Genomic DNA, 17,909 nt, shown 5'->3' on the forward strand with positions numbered 1-17,909 from the left:
GCAATGCTCCGGTCCTGGGGCTCAGGTGGAAGTTGCTCCTGATCCCCCCACACCCCCAGCACCATCCTGAGTGACTTCCCTTGACCGTCCTGGGTGACCATCCTGAGCAAGACTCCCTGGCCACCAACTGTCCTGTCGGCTCTGCTTGGGGCAACCACAGTGCCAAGTGAGCCTGGCAGGTGCTGGGTCACAGGACAGCCATGGACAGGGCCTGGGGAGGAGGAGAAGCTGGGGCCCTGTAGAGCCTGTTCCTTGGGGAGCAGGTGAGGGACCCTGCTGCCTCCCCTATTCCTGTCTGCAACAGGCCCAGCCCATACCTCCAGCTAGCTTCTCTGCATGCCACTCTCTCCGCCTGAGACAAGGCCTCTGTCCCTGTGACTGGTCTGATCCCTGGGGGGCACTCCTGGGATAGAAACCTACCCCACCAGTCGGCGGTGGCAAAGCCCTGGAAACTCACAGACCTGTCCTGGGCCTGGGCCTCCACAAGCCTCCCAGTTTGATCAGGTGCCCCCAACCACAGCAGGGACCATCTGTCAGGTCTTACTCCCAGTGGTGGCCAGGTCCCCAGCCTTCCAGAGAGCATTGCTAACTTGCCTCCATCCCTGGGTGCCTACGCTCCCAAAGTCCTCCTCAGGGGAGCACCCAAGCCGAGAGGGCTGGCCAGCCAGAATCTGAGTGGGTCACCCCACCATGTCCCTGGACTCTCTGGCAGGGCTGTCACAGGGCAGCCTACAGGCGTCAGTTGGAGCACAGAGGGTGTTTGCAGTGACGGCAGGGGACAGAGTGCCCAGTTGGCTCTAGCCTGTTGCTGCCATGAGGATAAGGGCTGAGGCTGTTAGAGCTTCTGACTTCAGAAGAAATCCAGATTTGTACATGAAATGTCCAAAATTTGAGCACATTGCAGGACAGAGGAAACACTCTGGGGTTGAACCCAACCCATGCCCCCACCCCGAGACTGCAACTCCTGTGTACGCCTGAACTGGTTAGTGTTCAAAGAAAGCAGATTTCTTAGTGACCCTGGCCCCAGCCCAAGATTTGAGCAGGAGACCCCGGGGATCTGGGGAGCAGGGAGGCAGGAGAGTCTGTATCTCATGGACCCAGCACCACAGGGAGGGTCGGCCTCCACAGGCATGAACTGTCCAGGTAATTAACACTTGCTCGAGCCCACTTAAAGTTAAAATCTCCCTAAAATGAGGAACCTGACCTGCCCCATCCCCAAACCCTCTGGGGGACCTTCTATACCCGCCCAGGGTATAATGAAGGAAAGATAGGATGCAGAAAGTGAACCTGAACTTGAACTTTCTTCATGTCCCAGGCAGTAGAGTCGCAGCATACCAAAAATCCTGGGCTTATAGGGAAGTTCTGCATTGAGGCAGGCCTGCCTCCACCTGCCAGCGCTACCTCATTCTAGCTGGGTAACCTCACCTCTCTGGGCCTCAGTTTCCTCACTCATAAAAGGGGCTTAATAAGAGTTCTGCCAGACAGGTGTGGTAGCTCACACCTGTAATCCCAGCACTTTGCGAGGCCGAGGCAGACAGATCATGAGGTCAGGAGTTCCAGACCAGCCTGGCCAACACGATGAAACCCTGTCTCTACTAAAAATACAAAAATTAGCTAGGTGTGGTGGCACACAGCTGTAGTCCCAGCTACTCAGGAGGCTGAGGCAGGAGAATTGCTTGAACCCGGGAGGCGGAGGTTGCAGTAAGCCGAGATTGCGCCACTGCACTCCAGCCTGGGTGACAGAGCGAGACTCTGTCTCAAAAAAACAAACAAACAAACAAACAAACAAAACAAACAAAAAGAGTTCTGTATCAGTTGCGTTGTTGGGAGAACGGTGACAATCGCTGTGAACATCGATCACTCCGCTAGCACACGGCAGGCACTCAGTATCAGCGGCTGCTGCTCCAGGGGCCCGTGGCTGCTGGCTTCTCTCGCACATCACCTGCTTCTGGGCAGCTCAGGAATTTCTCTCCTACATCTCATGTCAACTTTGCATCGCTTACCTCACCACCTTCTGGCACTTGTTTCCGTACCCTAAAGGAAACAGTCACTGAACACCTCCCCCACACCTATACTCCTGTATGGAGTACTGGGCACAGAGAGAAAAGACGACAAGGTCCTGCCTTAGAAGCTGCCAGATACCCTGTGCAGTGACACCCTCAGGTGAGCTTCTCTAGGCTAATGCCAGAGAAGGTGTTTCCTGTGCAGCCTTTGTTGAATGCCTCCAGAGACAGGCAGCTCACCACCTATCTGGCAGTGTGGCTGCAGAAGCCGTAGGACAGAGTCACCCAGGCATCCTTGAGCCTTAACTGGTAGAAAGAGATGTAGGACAGGTCCATAGGCAGTGCCCCTGAGTCAGAGGCACCTGGTTTTACTGGAGAAAACACATACCTCATAAGAAACTTCTGAAAATTTGGTGAGGTGTACAGAAAGATTTCAGTCTCCAGAAAAAGCACTGCAAATGCTCACGCATGTTTTTACAGAACAGAGCCCTGTTTCCTCTTTTTGCCAACAGCCCATTTAGCAATGCCAGGGCTGTGCCAGTGACCCCACCCACCTCCTAACAAGGCAGCCACTGTCCCGGGGGACAGCCAATATATGCTTTGATTTTTTGAGGTTAATGTCCTTGGGCCCCTGATTTTGGAAACCCTGGACAAAATATAAGGAGTCACTGCATGGGAAATAAACCTACCCCAGAAAGCTGGCTGCGGCATTCAGGAAACTGGAGAGAAAAGTCAAGGTGTCCGGAGGCCCAGGGTTCCTCGCCAGGATCGGCTATAGAGTTTGCAGGGCCCAGGGTAAGAAGAAAATGTGGCCCCCTGGTTTGAAAATGCCTGAGAATTACAAGGTGGTGACGATGGTGTGAATTAAAACGAGCTTGGGGCCCTTCCGAATGCAGGGCCTTCCTAAGCTCAGGGCCCTGTGCGGTGGTATGGGTCACAAACCCACAAAGCCAGCCCTGCCCCTCACACGTGTTCGTGCCGCATGCTGAGGCCCAGGGAGGGACCAAAGGCAGCTTCAGTGAAGGAGTACAACTCCTCGTCTTTGCCATTCTTTTTTTTTTTCTTTAATGCCATCATTGATGTTCCATGCTCATTTTAGAACACTTTGAGTCCTCAGAAAAGAAAAACATTTGTCAATCACCTATGAAAGCACACTCAGAGATAGCCACTGGGAAGGCCTCACCCAGCTTCTGTCAAAACTTTTTTTTTTTTTTTTTTGAGATGGAGTCTCGTTGTGTCGCCCAGACTGGAGTGCAGTGGTGCAGTCTCGGCTCACTGCAACCTCTGCTTCCTGGGTTCAAGCGATTCACCTGGCTCCAAGCGATTCTCCTGGCTCAGCCTCCCAAGTGGCTGGGACTACAGGCGCCTACCACCACCCCCAGCTAACTTGTATTTTTAGTAGAGATGGGGTTTCACTATGTTGGCCAGGCTGGTCTCGAGCTCCTGACCTCAGGTGACCCACCCACCTCAGCTTTCCACAGTGCTGGGGTTACAGGTGTGAGCCACCACACCTAGTCTGTCAAAACATATTTTAAGCAAAATTAGCATCTTATTAGGTGTATCATTTTATCTTCTGCTTGTTTCATTAATATTTTATCACAATATTTTCCTAAGTCAGAAGATACTGTCTTGCAAATGAACTTTCATGACTATTTAGCATATTCCACTGGACAGAGGTCCTTAACTAACCCCTTATTATCAGGCACTTGGGTTCTTCCCAGTTATTTCCAGTTTTCCCCATTGTAGGCAACACTTCCAGGAACATTTGTCTGCACTTTTCTGATTACTTCCTAGCATGATGAAACCCTGCTTTAGTGGTGGGGCTCCCAGTTAAGTCATTAGGGGTGATATTTTGGCTCCAGAAGACTCTTGGGGTGGTCTCTGAAAAACCCCCTTGGCCAAGTACCTCAGCCCCCATGCCTCATGCAGTGACAGTCCCACACCACAGCCCTGGCATTGCATCTGACTTTTTTTTTTTTTTTTTTTTTGAGATAGAGTCTCACTGTCGTCCAGGGCTGGAGTGCAGTGGCGTGATCTCGGTTCACTGCAAACCTCTGCCTCCCAGGTTCAAGTGATTCTCCTGCCTCAGCCTCCCAAGTAGGTGGGACTACAGGTGCGTGCCACCATGCCCGGCTAATTTTTTGTATTTTTAGTAGAGACAGGGTTTCACTGTGTTAGCCAGGATGGTCTCGGTCTCCTGACCTTGTGATCTACCCACCTCAGCCTCCCAAAGTGCTGGGATTACAGGCATGAGCCACCGTGCCCGGCCCTGACTTTCAAGAGAAAAACCTGACTCTTCCCACAGCTGACTTGATTGGCAGCATAGGCAAAGACTTGAAGCGAGTTTGGAGCGCTGACTGCCTGCCCTGCACTGGCTGGGTTTATCGCCATCTGTGAGGTGCTACCTTCATCCCCCTGTACAGACAAGGACCCCAGGCTCAATAGGCTGAGGCACTGGCCCAGGGACCTCCATGCCACCCTTATTGTGAGGAGGACACATTTGTGACTCTGAAGCAGAAAAGGCCCTTTGTCCTGCCAAACCATGGGCAGGATTCAGGGGTCTACAATGTGACTGCTCGGGTGGCCTGACCGCTGAGCCTATGAGGCTGGGGTTGGGAGGAGGACACTAGCCTGGTGCCTACTCACAGGGAGCACTCAACAAACAGCAGCAGGAGGAAGAGGAGAGGATGGGGCAGCAGCAGCAGGAGGGAAGGTTCGAGCCTCCGCAGTGGAGGGGAGGCTCTGCGGGCGTCTCTCAGCTGGCGAAGGCTCCTGAGAGCAGGGATCAGGTCTGCAGCCCCAGGGCCAGCTCAGTAGGGGAGCAAGGTGTGTGAACACATCGATGAGGGCCGTGCCTTGTGCCATCCTTCTTCCCCTTCACAGGCAGCTGGGCATGTTGGGGCCAGAGGGGAGGGCCTGTTAGTTTCCTGTGGCAGCCATGTAACAACTTATGGCTGACTCAGTGGCTTAAGCAACGCACATTTATTACCTTACAGTCAAGGGGGTCAGATGTCTGAGGTGGGGTCCCAGAACTAAAATCCAGGTGTTGGCAGGGCTGGTTCCTCCTGGAACTCCAGGGGAAAAATCCATCCCTTGCCTTTTCTGGCCTCTGGCGGCACTTGCACTCCTTGGCTCCTCGTCCCTTCTTCCGTCTTTAAAGCCAGCAGCGTCCCCTTGTTCTGTCTCTGACCACGGCTGGGAAGGAGTCTCTGCTTTTGGGCACACGTGGCTAATCCAGGCTACCCTCTCACTGCAGATCTTCAACTCAATCACACACCTACAAAGTCCCTTTGGTCTGGGAGGTAACACTTTCCCAGGCTCCAGGGATTAGGGCTTGGACATCTTGGGGACTTTATTCTGCCCAGGAAAGGTGGTATCAGGGAGTCTGAGCATCTGAACCTCCCCAGGGGACTGAAGGAATGCCTTCAGTGTCCTCTTCCTCCTCCTCAGCAGCTGTGAATCCAGAATAGAGGCCATCTACAAGGTCACACCTGGAGGGATCTGGGGAAACTGAGGTCACAGAGGTCTTGCCCAGGACCCCAGGCCAGGCCCTGTGTTTCTTCCACAGATGGCCCCTTCCCCACCACCCTGTAGTGCACTGCCCAGGGGGTGGAAGTGTTTTAGCCTGGAGGGACACCAGCTTGAGGACTCTGTAGAGCTCTGGGCCTAGGGGGAGGGCGGGCAATGTCATCTATGGGGTGGCTTCCCCACACCAGGGGCAGCTTTACGGAGGTTACCTTTTCATCCCCCCAAGTCCTGTGGCAAGTGAAGATCTGTTTCCTCATCTCATAGGGTAAGGAAGCTGAGGCCCTCAAAGGGGCAGTGGCTTGTCCGTGGAGAAGAGTCTGCTCCTTCCGACAAGCCTGTGGCTGGTGGTGAAGCAGGTGTGAATGGTCTGTCCCATGAGCAGGAGGGTGGGTGTGCGGCGATGTCGGCGTGGTCTCCGCAGAGCTCTGTGCACAGGCCTGTGCATCTGCTGACAGGCAGCTGAGAAGGCTTGCAGTCACATCGCTGATGGTAAAGCTGTAGCAACAGGCTCAGAGAGGTGTGTTAGCTTTCCCAGAGACACACAGCTCTCTGGAAGAGTGCCATCCTCTGAGCTCCATCGCCTGGTGCTTTGCATCCCTTGCCCCAAGGGCACACGTAGAAGCAGAGTTCCTTGGGGTTGGATCTGTGGGGTGGTTTGTGAGGGGGACTGTGTCATCCACTGTGGAAAAGACTTAGCTGCCTCTCTGTAAAACATTTTTGCCTGACGTGAGTTCTCTCCCTTGACCGGGGGCCAGCACAGTACATAGTAGGGTGGTTAAGAGCCCTGGGTTTGGGCTGAGCGCGGTAGCTCATACCTGTAATTCCAGCACATTGGGAGGCCGAGGCAGGAAGATTGCATGAGCCCAGGAGTTTGAGACCAACCTGAGCAACAAAGGTTAAAAAAAAAAACATTAGCTGGGCATGGTGGCACACGCCTGTAAGTCCCAGCAACTTGGGTGGCTGAGGCAGGAGGATAACTTGAGCCTGGGAGGTTGAGGCTGCAGTGAGCGGTGATCACGCCACTGCACTCCAGCAGGGGCAACAGAGCAAGACCCCATCTCAAAAAGAGAAAAGAAAAGCCTTGGGATGGGATTTGGGGTGCTCTGAGTTTAAATCCCAGGGCCCCCACTTTGGTGTGATCTCAGGTATGCTCCTGAACTCTCTATGCCTGAGTTCCCCCAGCTGTAAAGGAGGGGGTGATAATAATGCTGCCCAGACCCCAGAGGACCCCTAGGAGGCTCTTGCTGGGCAGCTGGTCCTGCCCCAGAGCCCTCCCACTCCACACACCCCTGCATACGCTCAAGGGCAGATGGGCCCCCCACAACCAAGCCAGGCCTGGTGGCCCTAGGACACTCTTGGCCACAAGAATTCAGATTATTTTCTCAGCAAATTTCTGACCAGTGTCCTGGGGCCTCAGCAGGGGCAGGGCTGCATGGTCCTGGGTCTATCTGGACTTGTTCTGGCTCAGACCTCAGCCCACCACAAGGACAACGAGTCTGGGAACTCGGGCAGGCTCTCTGCCAACCAGGAGCTGCTCTTGCTCGCCGGGACCCCACAGGGCAGGAATAGTGGGCATTCATATCATTCCCATTTTGCAACCAGGCAGACCGAGGCCCAGAGAGGCCAGATAACCTGCCTCAGGCCACACAAATGGCAAACAATAAGGCCAAACCTTGGTGATGGCCAGACTCTAAATCCGGGGCCACTTCTTGCCTTAGGAATATAGTCTTTCCTGGCACTCACTTAGCCAAAAATCTTTCTAGAAGGGTGGCAGGCCTTCCTGCCCCACTCCCGGAACAGGCCGGCTGCTTTCAGGGCCAGAAGAGCCAGCCCTTTGGAGGAGGAGGCTTGTGAGAGTGGGGATGGGCCGCAGAGCCTCCCCAGGCAGGGCAGCGTTGCAGCTTGCATGTGGCAGGGATGTAGGGTGAAGCTGTGCAGGGCAAAAGACAGGTCAGTTCCCGCTGGAAGTGCCCCACTGGGGGGCCTCGGTGTGTCTCTTTCCCCAGCACTGGCATGGCACATTTTGACCTGAGCAATGGTGAGCTGCCCGGAATACGAACAGGAGGAAGAGAACCTTCCCCAGGCAGCATGTGAGGCTGGGGTGGCACTCGACACAGGACAGCAGGCAAGGACATGCCGCCCTCCAGGCTGAGGGTCTTGGGAGCCTCCCCTCCCAGCCCCTGCTGTGGCCTCCCCCTGGGCCCTGGCATGGGAGGAGTTAAGCTGCCGCGGGCACCTTGGCACATTGCGCTGCCCAGAGTGTCCGGCTCCCCACCCCCACTGCTTTTCTTCCTTTTTGCCTTTTTCCTTCTTAATTAATCATACGCTGCTGCCCAATTTAAATATGGAAATGCCCAGGCCGAGGCGATGCAATTATTCATGAGGGCCGGGCGGCTGTCCGGGGCTCTCGGGCTGTGGGGAGTACCGTGGCATCGCCTCCGTTCTGATGTGTGTGAAATTATGTGCACAAAAGGCGCCTCCTTATCTGGGAGTGTGAACTAAATAAATAAATAAGGGCTTTTGTTTGTTTGCCGGCTCCTGCACATGGCTGCTGGGACTCAAGCGCTCGTGTTGTCTGCGCCTCTGTGGGACTCTGGGGACGGGAGGCAGGGGAGGCCCCCGCAGGCCGGCCAGGGGCTGGGGGCTGGGGGCCGGGGGCCGGCCGCCGGGCACCTGGGGCCCTCTCCCTCCCCAGGCACCACCCTCACCCCGCAGCTCCCCCCCATACACACCCTCGCTGGAAAGTTCGCCCTGCCCGGGCTGGGCTCCCAGGCAGCCTGGCACCGTGCCAGGCTCGCCGCCGAGCTCGGGCAGCAGGGTGGGGCAAACGCGGAGCACGGAGGACGGGGCCGGGCGACCTGGGCACCAGCAGGACCCGAGGCCAGGAGCCAGGGGCCCAGAAGGTGAGGGCACCCCGGGTGGGCGCAGGGTGGGCGCTCTGTGGGCAACGGGCCCTGCGGCCGGGCCCAGGAGCAGGCCTCGTTGCGGGGTTGGGGGGGGAGGTTGGAGCGGAGGCTGGCAGAGGAGGCAGGCACAAAGGAGGGCAGTGCCAGGCAGCTGTGGCCGACGCAGGCATCGCTGCCCGCCTGCCCCTAGCCGGCCTCCCCGCCGAGGGGAGGACGCGTGTGCAGGGGCCCGGGCAGGAGCGGCAGACACCGAGCCGCGGCCACAGGGCCAGCCGCACAGTCGGAGGAAGGGCCGGAGCGAGGCGGGGCCCGGGGCTGTCAAGGAGAAAAACATCCCAAGGCCTGCAAATTGCTGCTCTCAGCTTTTTTCCCCCCTCCTCCTGCTTCGCGGGGTGGGGGGGTTGGGGGGGGGGTGGTGGGGGGAGAAAGCAGCGCTTCCTCTGGAGGCGGATGCAAAAAGGATGCAGAATTTTAACCATCTCCTGCACCGGCCCGTCCTTCCTGAGCAGGGTTTGGGCCCAGGCCTGGCGCCGTGGCTCCCTGGGAAGGGAAAGGCCAGAGCAGCCGATGCCGGTTCTGGGGGACGCCGGAAAGCCCAGCCTCCTCTGCACCTCCATCCAGAACCGGGGGCCCCGCAGCACCTGCAGCAGGGGTGGAGGGTGGGAGGCAGAAGGGGCCTGGTGCTCTCGGAGGCTGCACCTCACGGTACCAGTCGCTACCCAGAGCAGCACGCCTGTTTGCTGGCCTGCTCTTGGGTGTTAAACATGGTGTCCAGGTCCCCGGTTGGAGACCCCAGCCCTGTACCGGGTGAGGGTCTTAGCTCCCACTGACTTGGGGCCTTCAACCACACTGGCATCCCAGGCCTTCCTCCTGACTGACTTCTGTTTTAAAAATAATGTGGAACGTTTTCTGGCATCTGGTGAGGGATTCACACACTGTTTACTGAGGGCAGGACTTAAGGAATGAGTTCAGAAGGTATCTATCTGGTCACTGGACAAACGGCAGGCAAGCCCCCTGTGCTCCTCGCTGGGTGAGACTCAGGGGCATGGGTTTGGGCATGGGAGCTCAGAGGGATGGTCTGGGCCCACAAGCCCACGAGGCATAGAGCCTAGGGCCCATGAAATGTTTTCATTTTAATTTCTTTTAAAATCAGAAGAAAAAATGACTATAAAAATAATGAATATACGACAATGAATTCGACCTGGTTTTATTGGCCTTTAGTCTGATGTAGTCATAAAATAGAATTTTTAGTATTTATGGAGGAAGGGAACCAGGAAGCCAAAAGTGCCCCGGCCCATGGAAGGCGGGTGTGGCCTGGGTTGGTCCTGTCTGTCCCAGGACAAAGGGTCAGATGTCTGGGTCCAGGGGGGGTTTGGAGGGCATCTGGGTGCCCTGTGAATCTGGCTTCCACGAAGGCTAGCTGGGACAGGTTGCTCCAGCCTGCGGTGGACAGGAGCCAGGGCTGTGTATGTCTGTGCGTGTCCGTGTATGTGCACGTGGGTGTGCAGGCATACTCGTGTGCATGCCAGTGTTTGACAAAGGATTCCTAGACACCTGCGTGTGTAAGTCCCAATTCTCAAAACGGGGAATGCAAGGCCAGGGTCAGGAGACAGTGTGGCTGCAAGGGCCTGGTATTCCTGACAATGATGGGTAGGGAGTGCCATTGTCTCCCTAGGAGAAAGCAGCCTTCAAGGTCCCAGCACCCCCAAACCCACGAGCTCACACAAAACAACGCGAGCCACAAATGCAAGCCACATCTGTCATTTAACACCTTCTAATAGCCACATTTTCAGAAAGTGAAAATAAGCGGGTAAGATTCACTTTAGTACTAAAATTCATTTTAATCTAATATAAATTTCCAAAATCCTATTTCAGTGTGTTGCTCGTATGAAACTGTGAACGGGATATTTTGCCATTTTTTCCATATTCGATTTGGCCTCTCCCCATTTCAATGGCTCCTTTGCTGCGTGTGGAGCAGCTACCACGGCGGTCACGTAGGTTTAGTAGGTCCCTGTGCCCCCCACTTCCCCACCCAGAGTAGGGGAGACTGGTTTTCTGCTTCTTTTTTGCTGGTGGCCCTTCCTGGCCAGGGAAAGGGATACTTCCACTGGCTCATCAGCCCCCAGCAACCCTGAGAGCTGAAAGAATGGATGTTGGGGCTGCAGGTTCCAGAATGAGGGGGGCTGCTGGAAAGGGTTCTTCGGCTGTGCTCCCAGACGCCAGGGGACGACACAAAGGGCTGACTTCAGACTCACAATAGTGGGGCGGTTAGTCACAGTGCCAGGGCAGCGGGCAAGCAGACAGAGCCCCCTGTGTCTGTGCCTGGTCGGGCTGGGCCCTGCAGCCCCCATTTCCCCAGCTGGCTTCCCACCCCACCCCTGCCCGCTCCCCACATTAACCCCCTGCCGCCTGCTGCCTACCTGGCAGCCTGGCCGGGGCTCCCTTGGCCAGGACTGGTTTCCACCAGCCACCCTGGCCAGAGGCGTGCTCCTTCTAGAAGCCGGGCTCAAGCCTGCATGATTTCATGGGCCTGTCTCGGGAAGCAGGCATTGGAACAGCTCCGTCACCGTGGCCGGGCAGCGTCCACGCAGCCTGAAAGGGGAGATTTTCATATTAGTTTAGAGGCTCCTCACTTAAAGATTTCATCAGCATTTGCGAGTGTTCGCCATTCAAGGACTGTGCATTTCTGGAAACAATGAAAAGCCAAAACTGTGAAAAATTAAGGAGTGGCCCTGAAGCTGGTGTCTGTAACTGCACATTTTAAAGTGAACAGACTGATATAAATATTTTAATCCTGTGCCTAGATAGATGGATAAGATAAAATAAATTAGTCATGTTCTGGCCCAGTCTGGAGACTATCTGAAAGCAAGACAAATGTCAGCATTTGCTGTTTAGGGGTTACAATTAAAATCTCTCCTTCTAGATTGAGCTTCTAGAGCCTCAGAGATGGAATTCGCCGTTTTGCCGCGATTTGGCGTTAACTTATTGACCCATGGGGAGGAGGGTCACTTCCCGTGAAAAGGTATAAAATGAAGTTGTCAGTCTCTCTTTTTAATTAAAAAAAAAAAAAATCTCTGCAAAGATTCTGCATTCTGGCTTCTCTTTGCTAAATTAAAGTGGCATGTGTTTTTATTTTAGAAGGCAGAGATGTTTTGCTGTGCCCAGTGTGAGGAAGCGAAGGAAAAGAAAGATCTTTTGAAAATGTGTACATCTACTTGCAGCTTGAAAATTCCAAGTGCCAGACATTTTTCTTGGAGGAAATAAATGTCTTCAATTTATTCATCTTACCTGTTGATTATGTTCTGTAATGATTTATTTTATAATTTAATCCTTGTCTAGAACCGAGGCCATCTTTGGAAAGTAAAAGACCTAGGTCTCTTTGGTCCAGGAGACATTGTGGCCCTCTCTTAAAATCATTGACTGCCGAGATCTGGGCCCAGGCGGCTCTCGGACTGAACCGGTCTGTGCTAGGCAGCCTGGCCCACTCGGCCTTCAAAACACAAGGGATGGGAGACATATGCTCGGCTCACATCGTTTTGTTTTGATTTATTTTAAACTGCTTAAGATGATTTTAGCACAAGGAGTGGTGTATCTTACTTGCATTCTGAGAGCCACTGGATTTGCAAGCTAGAGTACAATTTTTTTTTTAATCCAAATTTAGAAATTGCCTTTTAGAGTAGACAACAGCATGCTACTTTGCCTTTTAACTCACTTTTAAAGAACGATTCTTAAGATCAAGTACATTGAATTTGGAGATTGGTCCCCCTCCGTTATTAGGGGCTGGAAATGGCCCACTTTTCAAAAATAAGGTCAGAAAAGGGGTGTTTCTGACCTAAGAGTTCTTCCAGGCTGGGCTCGTACCACAGAGATTCTTCCACACCCATGTCCTGAGTCCTTGTCCTACACACCATTTTTTCTTCCAAGGAGAAGGAGTGTGGCATTCAGTTCCAGTGTCATCGTGTGGAAAAGAGTCCCTGCCTGGCTGAGAAACTGTCACAGGCAGCCGGGCCACTTCCCAGCATGACCCACAAGCCCGATGGTGCCCCTCGAATGGTTAAGGGACCCGTACAGATACCATTCTTTTAAAGCAAGCCAATGCAATCTTCACGAATTGCAGTTCCACCCTGGCTGCTGGTACTAACTCTAATAATGGAAAAAAATTTAAAAGATTGGGGACAACAGGAAACACATTGGATCCCCAGGGGAAACGGCCTGGAAGCTACAGTAGAGACATGGGTGACCCAAGGGCTCTGTTCAAGTCCTGGGGCTGTTCCCTTTATTCCTCCAAGCCTCAGCTCCCCGGATTTAAAGTGAGAACAGCACCCAGCCCAGCCCACTGTCAAGGGCTGTTGCAGGAATATGACAACAGCCACCAATATTTGCATAGCAGAGATGCCCAGTTTCGTTTTCTATTTGAAAGTTTCTCTGAAGGGGGATGTGCTAGAGACACGAGAACAACTGCTACCATCTTAATAACTTTTCTGGCAATACACGACGATGATTGTTTATGTTAATCTCATAACTATTAACAATAATTCATTTCATTCTCATAATGAATTATATCTATTTGACTTATAATAAATAGAATCATATCAGTAATATAGTCCTTTTCTGATCATGAAAGCAACATATGCTCACTATAGAAAATTTGGAAAATACAGAAAAATGCACATAAGGGAAAAATTATTCATCCTTTCTCCCACGCAGAGACAAGCTCTGGTCACATTTTCCTGTGTTTCCTTCCAGGCTCTGCTCTCTGCCGAGCGGCTTTCATCAATTCTCCTAGCATCTATTTTCAGATAACTCCGTGGGCTTTTGTGATTGGTCCTCCTTGTCGCCTTGGCCCCTCTGGTCCTCAGTGGCAGTTCTTTCTCTCTTGCTGCCTCCTTCAGGAGGGCCCGGCTCAGGGTCTGGGTGTTCAGGGAGAAGACCTCAGGCTCCACGGCACCCAGCCTCCTTGTCCTGCTGTGCTGGGAGCCCGGTTGGGGTAGCCCAGATACACGGCCAGCACAGCCCCACGGCAAAGCCAGGCCTGCAGGTGGGCTCAGGGCATCAGGGAGCCGGAGTGAGTGGCATGAAACCCATTATCTCGCAGGGCCCGAGCTGTGGAGGTGAGCGCGCTAGGCCTTCCCATGCAGGAGAGGGCTGGGAGGTGGGAAGATGCAGGCAGGCTGTCCCCGACAGAAAACCCAGGAACACTGCAGCACGGATTGGGAGGGGGGCGCTGAGAGAGTGTAAAAAGCAGCTTCAATGCTTGAATTCTAAGCAAAGAAAGATGCTTGGGCCAAATCAAACCGCTTCTTAGACGTGCAAAGTTTCATCGGAACTGTTGGGATAATGTTTCCAAGGTGTTCAGCTTTATGGCCCTGACTTACACCCGCCGCGTGGTTGGGGGTTAGTGCCAAGTGGCTTGGTAGGCAGAAATCCACCAGAACTTCAGTGCAAGGGCACAATCCCCCAATAGCATGTCACAATCATGCATGTGCCTTGGCCGACCCCACAAGTCCATCAGGAAAAAGTTCCACAGAACCAGGCCTCTGGAGGGGGAACCACACAGACCTCCCTATTGCCTTCTGAGTAACTGATCCAAAGGCATTTCTAGAATAGCCGGGTACGTTCATGATAGGAGAAATGAAGTCTATGGGGTCTACCTTTACCCGCTTAGAATAATGCAGTGGCCTCAACGTCTTAACAATAGATCATTTGAGATTTATTAATAACCCAAGTTGCAGACAAACTTCATAGGCAAGATCATAGGTTGCAGTGTTCACTACAGTATACAAATATTAGCAAGACATGACATAGGGAATCATAGGGGACATGACAGTAAATTATCCCATAGTGAAATAATGGAACATTGTGTCACCGTTAAAACGGTGGTGACATTTTGGGAGGCCAAGGCGGGTGGATCACCTGAGGTCAGGAGCTCGAGACCAGCCTGGGCAACATGGTGAAACCCCGTCTCTACTGAAAATACAAAAATTAGCCGGACGTGGTGGCTTGTGCCTGTAATCCCAGCTAGTCGGGAGGCTGAGGCAGGAGAATCGCTTGAACGCAGGAGGTGGAGGTTGCAGTGAGCCGAGATTGCGCCATTGCACTCCAGCCTGGGTGACAAGAGCGAAACTCCATCTCAATAAATAAATAAATAATAATAAAATGGTATTGACAAAAAGTTTGGAATGGTATGGGTGTGTACGGGATACAACACCTTCCTACAGTATGTACATATGTAAGGCATGTCTGTGTATGTATATGTGTGCTGAACAATGGTTGGGAGGGAAATACAACAGAATATTATTTCTGGATTGCGGCATGTAGGTGAATTTTCCTTTTTTTGTGTATTTTATACTTAACCCATATTTTTTATTTACTACTGAAATTATATCTTAAATATCTGTCTTTATATTTTATTCTTAAATTGCGTATAATTTACACTTTCCTGTGCCTTCATTAAACACGTGGTATATTTATAATCAGGGAAAAACTATTTTTAAAGACTCATTATAGGAAGATAGACAAATAGAGACAAATGGCATGCTTTCTTTCAGTCATTGGGGATGGATGATACACGTAGCAGAAGTATTCGTTAGACCAACAAATAGGAATAGTAAGTCAATATTGTTCTTTCTTTAATAAAAGATTTATATGTTGGTAGCTTATTAATCCAATACTATGTGAGTTTTCTAACCAAACACATATACTTGTACGCCAGGGCAGAAAAATCTCAATTAAGATTTTGTGTGGACTCGGGAAGTGTTTTTGTTCCCTAAACAATAGCCTTAAGAAGGGTGGAAAAAGGCCCGTCTTCTTCTTGGATCCTTGGTTGGGTGACAACCCTCCGGTGGTGAGACATGGTGCCTGATTTTCAGTTGGGGCTTTCTGCTTCCCCTGTTTGGTTTTCTAGGGACAATTTAAAAGATTCTGCAAGTTAATTACTGGAGAAGTCCGTAGATCCTGGATTCATAGTATCAGATTAATTGTGGTCTTTGAGTGGGAATCCTAGTGGTTTATTTAGACTCATCAGTTGTCTTATTCTTTTTTTTAAAAAGAAAGAAAACATTTATTTTCGTAAGCTTGTATTGCCCTTAAAATATTTCTCTGCACTCTTAGGTCACCTGCCTATTCACGCCAGGAGCGCATCGCTTGCGTTAAGAGACTAGAAGTTTCTTTCTTAACCATAATGTGCCAGGATTTTGTTATACGGAAAAATCTGTCCGTGTTTCCAACTAATATTTCCTAGCCTTCAGGCAAGTGCGACTTGCTTCACTGTAAAATGGATTCCCAGGACCTGCCGTATCGGGACGGGCAGAATTCTTTAAAATGCAGTGCCCCGGGCAACCCCATCACTTCCCGGCTGGCTCCGGGCGGTCCCGGGCTGCCCGCCGGCCGCAGAGCCCCCTCTCCCGGGCCCGCCCGGCCGGAGCCTCAGTTTCCCCGGCAGAGCGGGGCGGAGGCGAGGCTGGGGACGCTCGGGCGGCGGGGAAGGGGCCGACTCGGCCAGGCGCGCCCGGCTGGGAGGTCCCGCGGGCCCTGGAGCCTCCCGCAGCCCGCCTGGGCCTCCGGGGCGCGACCCCCTAATCCGCTTTAGTCAATATCTTATGAGCTCCGCTTGGGCAAAGTAAACAGGCGCCGAACAAAGCGGCGGCCGCAGCCCGCGACTCCTGACCCCGGGGTCGCGCCCTTTGTTCGCCCTCAATGGGGCAGCCCCGCCGCCCGGCCTGCGGCTAATTGGGGCGCGTGCCGCCGCCTCTGCCCGGACCGCACCCTGGACTCTGCCTGGGACGCGCCCTCGGACGCAGGCCCCGGACCCGCCCGCCAACTCCGACCCGACCCCGGCCTGGGACCCCGGCTCGAACCCTCGTCCCTGCCCAGGCGGACCCCGGCCCCGGCCCGGACCCTCTGCAGCGGCTCCGGGCCCAGGCTCCGACTCCAGGCCTCGGTTCGAACCCTGGGGACCCGCCCCGCCCCGCTGCAGACCGGCCTCCCCGCCCGCCGCGGACCCCGAGCCTCAGGCCTGGTGCCGGACTCGGCCCTGCCTCGCGTGCCCGCCCTGGGGCTGCCTGGAGGAGGCGCACCGAGGCCTCCCTGCCTTCAGAGCCGCTGCGGGCCTGGGCCCTGTGTCCCCCCAGGTCCGCAGCTGGCCGGCTGAAACTGGCCCGCACCTCCCGCCCCGGGGCCGGGTGCTCCTGGTCCGCGCAAGGTCCCCACGCACTCCCGCGGCCACGTGGGTGCCTGTCCCCTGGAGCGGGGTTGGGGGAGGCCGCAGAGACACTGCTCCCGGGGTCCCTGTGCAGGCCCCGTAAGGATTTCAGACAGCCGTGATGCAGAGGAGACGTGTATTAGTTCTTGTTTTTCTTTTTCTGCTCTTTATTTCTGCTTGGAAGCCTGTCACACGGGAAAGAAAAGACGCTCCATCTATGCGAACCCCACTCCCCTGGTGAGGGAAGCCGGAACCCTTCAGACCCTCTGCACGTGGGCTCCCTCCCCGACAACCTCTTTTTCCTCCACATCACAACCTTTCCAGCACCTGGGAACGGTTCTAGGCCAGAGGAGGATGCTGAGGCCATGAATGCATCCGTTGACACGAAATTCAGGCCTTGACCATTTCACGTCTTTCTGTTCTTCGTTTTTTCCTCAAATGTTGGACAAGGTTATAATGTTTATCCCAAGAAGCTTTTGAGACTTAGCACTTGTAATTTTCGTAAGGGTTCTGTTTGATTTTTAAAAAGGTACTTTCTTTTGTAATTAGGTGCAAAAAGGAAAGCACAGAAAGGACTCTTCTTGAAAGCCTTTGCCTCCAAAGATGAGCAGAAAGGCTTCCAGTTCCTGGCACCGCCAGGCAAGGCCCTCTACCTGATTCTCACTTATTTCAGTTTTGTTCACCAGCTGTAAATACTGCTAGGCTTTGCCAGGAAGACTTTTTTTTTTTTATGTTGAGTTTGTTTTTGAGCTTGTTGATTGCACGGTGGAATATTCTAACGTGGAATTTGGCTTTGGGAAGACTTGGTGTTCAGGAGTTGTCGGATATGCCCTGCTGTTGTGAGGATGGAGCTGGGTAGGGGTCCTGCCGTGGGCCATGAGTGGGGGTAGGCAGGTGTGGCCGTCACCTTCTGGGTGTGCGGTGCAGATCTCCACCTGGGAAGGAAAGCCCTTGGGAGACATGCCTTGTGATTCTTGCCTTTCATAGAATGACTGCCAAATAGCCCGGTGCCTCTTTACTCGCCTGCCTCGTTCCTGTGCATCCCTCCTGAGGTCACCACTTCTATGTAGCCTTTCTCCTTTCTGAGGAGCAATAATCCAATCTGATCAGTGTAAGTTTGCCTCCGTGGAATGCTGATGCCCAGGCTGGGGACCCCCGCCACCCCTCTCTCAGCAGTGCTTGCAGGCATGAGATGGTGAGGGTTCTCAAAGGCTGTCCTCAACACTGATCGGCCTTTGATATTGAGACCATGGGGCAGCTGCCTGCCAGGTT

At 53.5% G+C, this 17,909-nt stretch overlaps 1 protein-coding gene and 2 long non-coding RNA genes across 3 annotated transcripts in view, besides 3 other annotated features; 2 read left to right on the top strand and 1 right to left on the bottom strand.

The window, feature by feature from the left end:
- LOC124905135 (collagen alpha-1(III) chain-like) overlaps positions 1-17,909 on the top strand; it is a 69,285-nt gene that overhangs the window by 843 nt on the left and 50,533 nt on the right. The window lies entirely within an intron of this gene.
- Positions 3,045-8,739, bottom strand: PRR34 (PRR34 long non-coding RNA). Its single transcript, NR_165243.1, has 2 exons — positions 8,264-8,739; positions 3,045-6,413 (listed from the first exon to the last, which is right to left on the bottom strand). It is a non-coding gene; the product is annotated as a PRR34 long non-coding RNA (long non-coding RNA).
- Positions 8,130-8,249: a silencer, noted in NCBI's record as "silent region_13896". NCBI's record gives its function as "represses an Ori minimal core promoter by ATAC-STARR-seq in GM12878 lymphoblastoid cells {active_cell/tissue: GM12878}" and the evidence as "EXISTENCE:reporter gene assay evidence [ECO:0000049][PMID:35858748]".
- PRR34-AS1 (PRR34 antisense RNA 1) lies at positions 8,360-13,036 on the top strand. The gene is made up of 3 exons (NR_027034.1): positions 8,360-8,434; positions 11,361-11,459; positions 11,576-13,036. It is a non-coding gene; the product is annotated as a PRR34 antisense RNA 1 (long non-coding RNA).
- Positions 8,490-8,649: a silencer, noted in NCBI's record as "silent region_13897". NCBI's record gives its function as "represses an Ori minimal core promoter by ATAC-STARR-seq in GM12878 lymphoblastoid cells {active_cell/tissue: GM12878}" and the evidence as "EXISTENCE:reporter gene assay evidence [ECO:0000049][PMID:35858748]".
- Positions 12,839-12,888: an enhancer, noted in NCBI's record as "active region_19231". NCBI's record gives its function as "activates an Ori minimal core promoter by ATAC-STARR-seq in GM12878 lymphoblastoid cells {active_cell/tissue: GM12878}" and the evidence as "EXISTENCE:reporter gene assay evidence [ECO:0000049][PMID:35858748]".

Source organism: Homo sapiens, chromosome 22 (assembly GCF_000001405.40).
Source record: "Homo sapiens chromosome 22, GRCh38.p14 Primary Assembly".
NCBI lineage: Eukaryota > Metazoa > Chordata > Mammalia > Primates > Hominidae > Homo > Homo sapiens.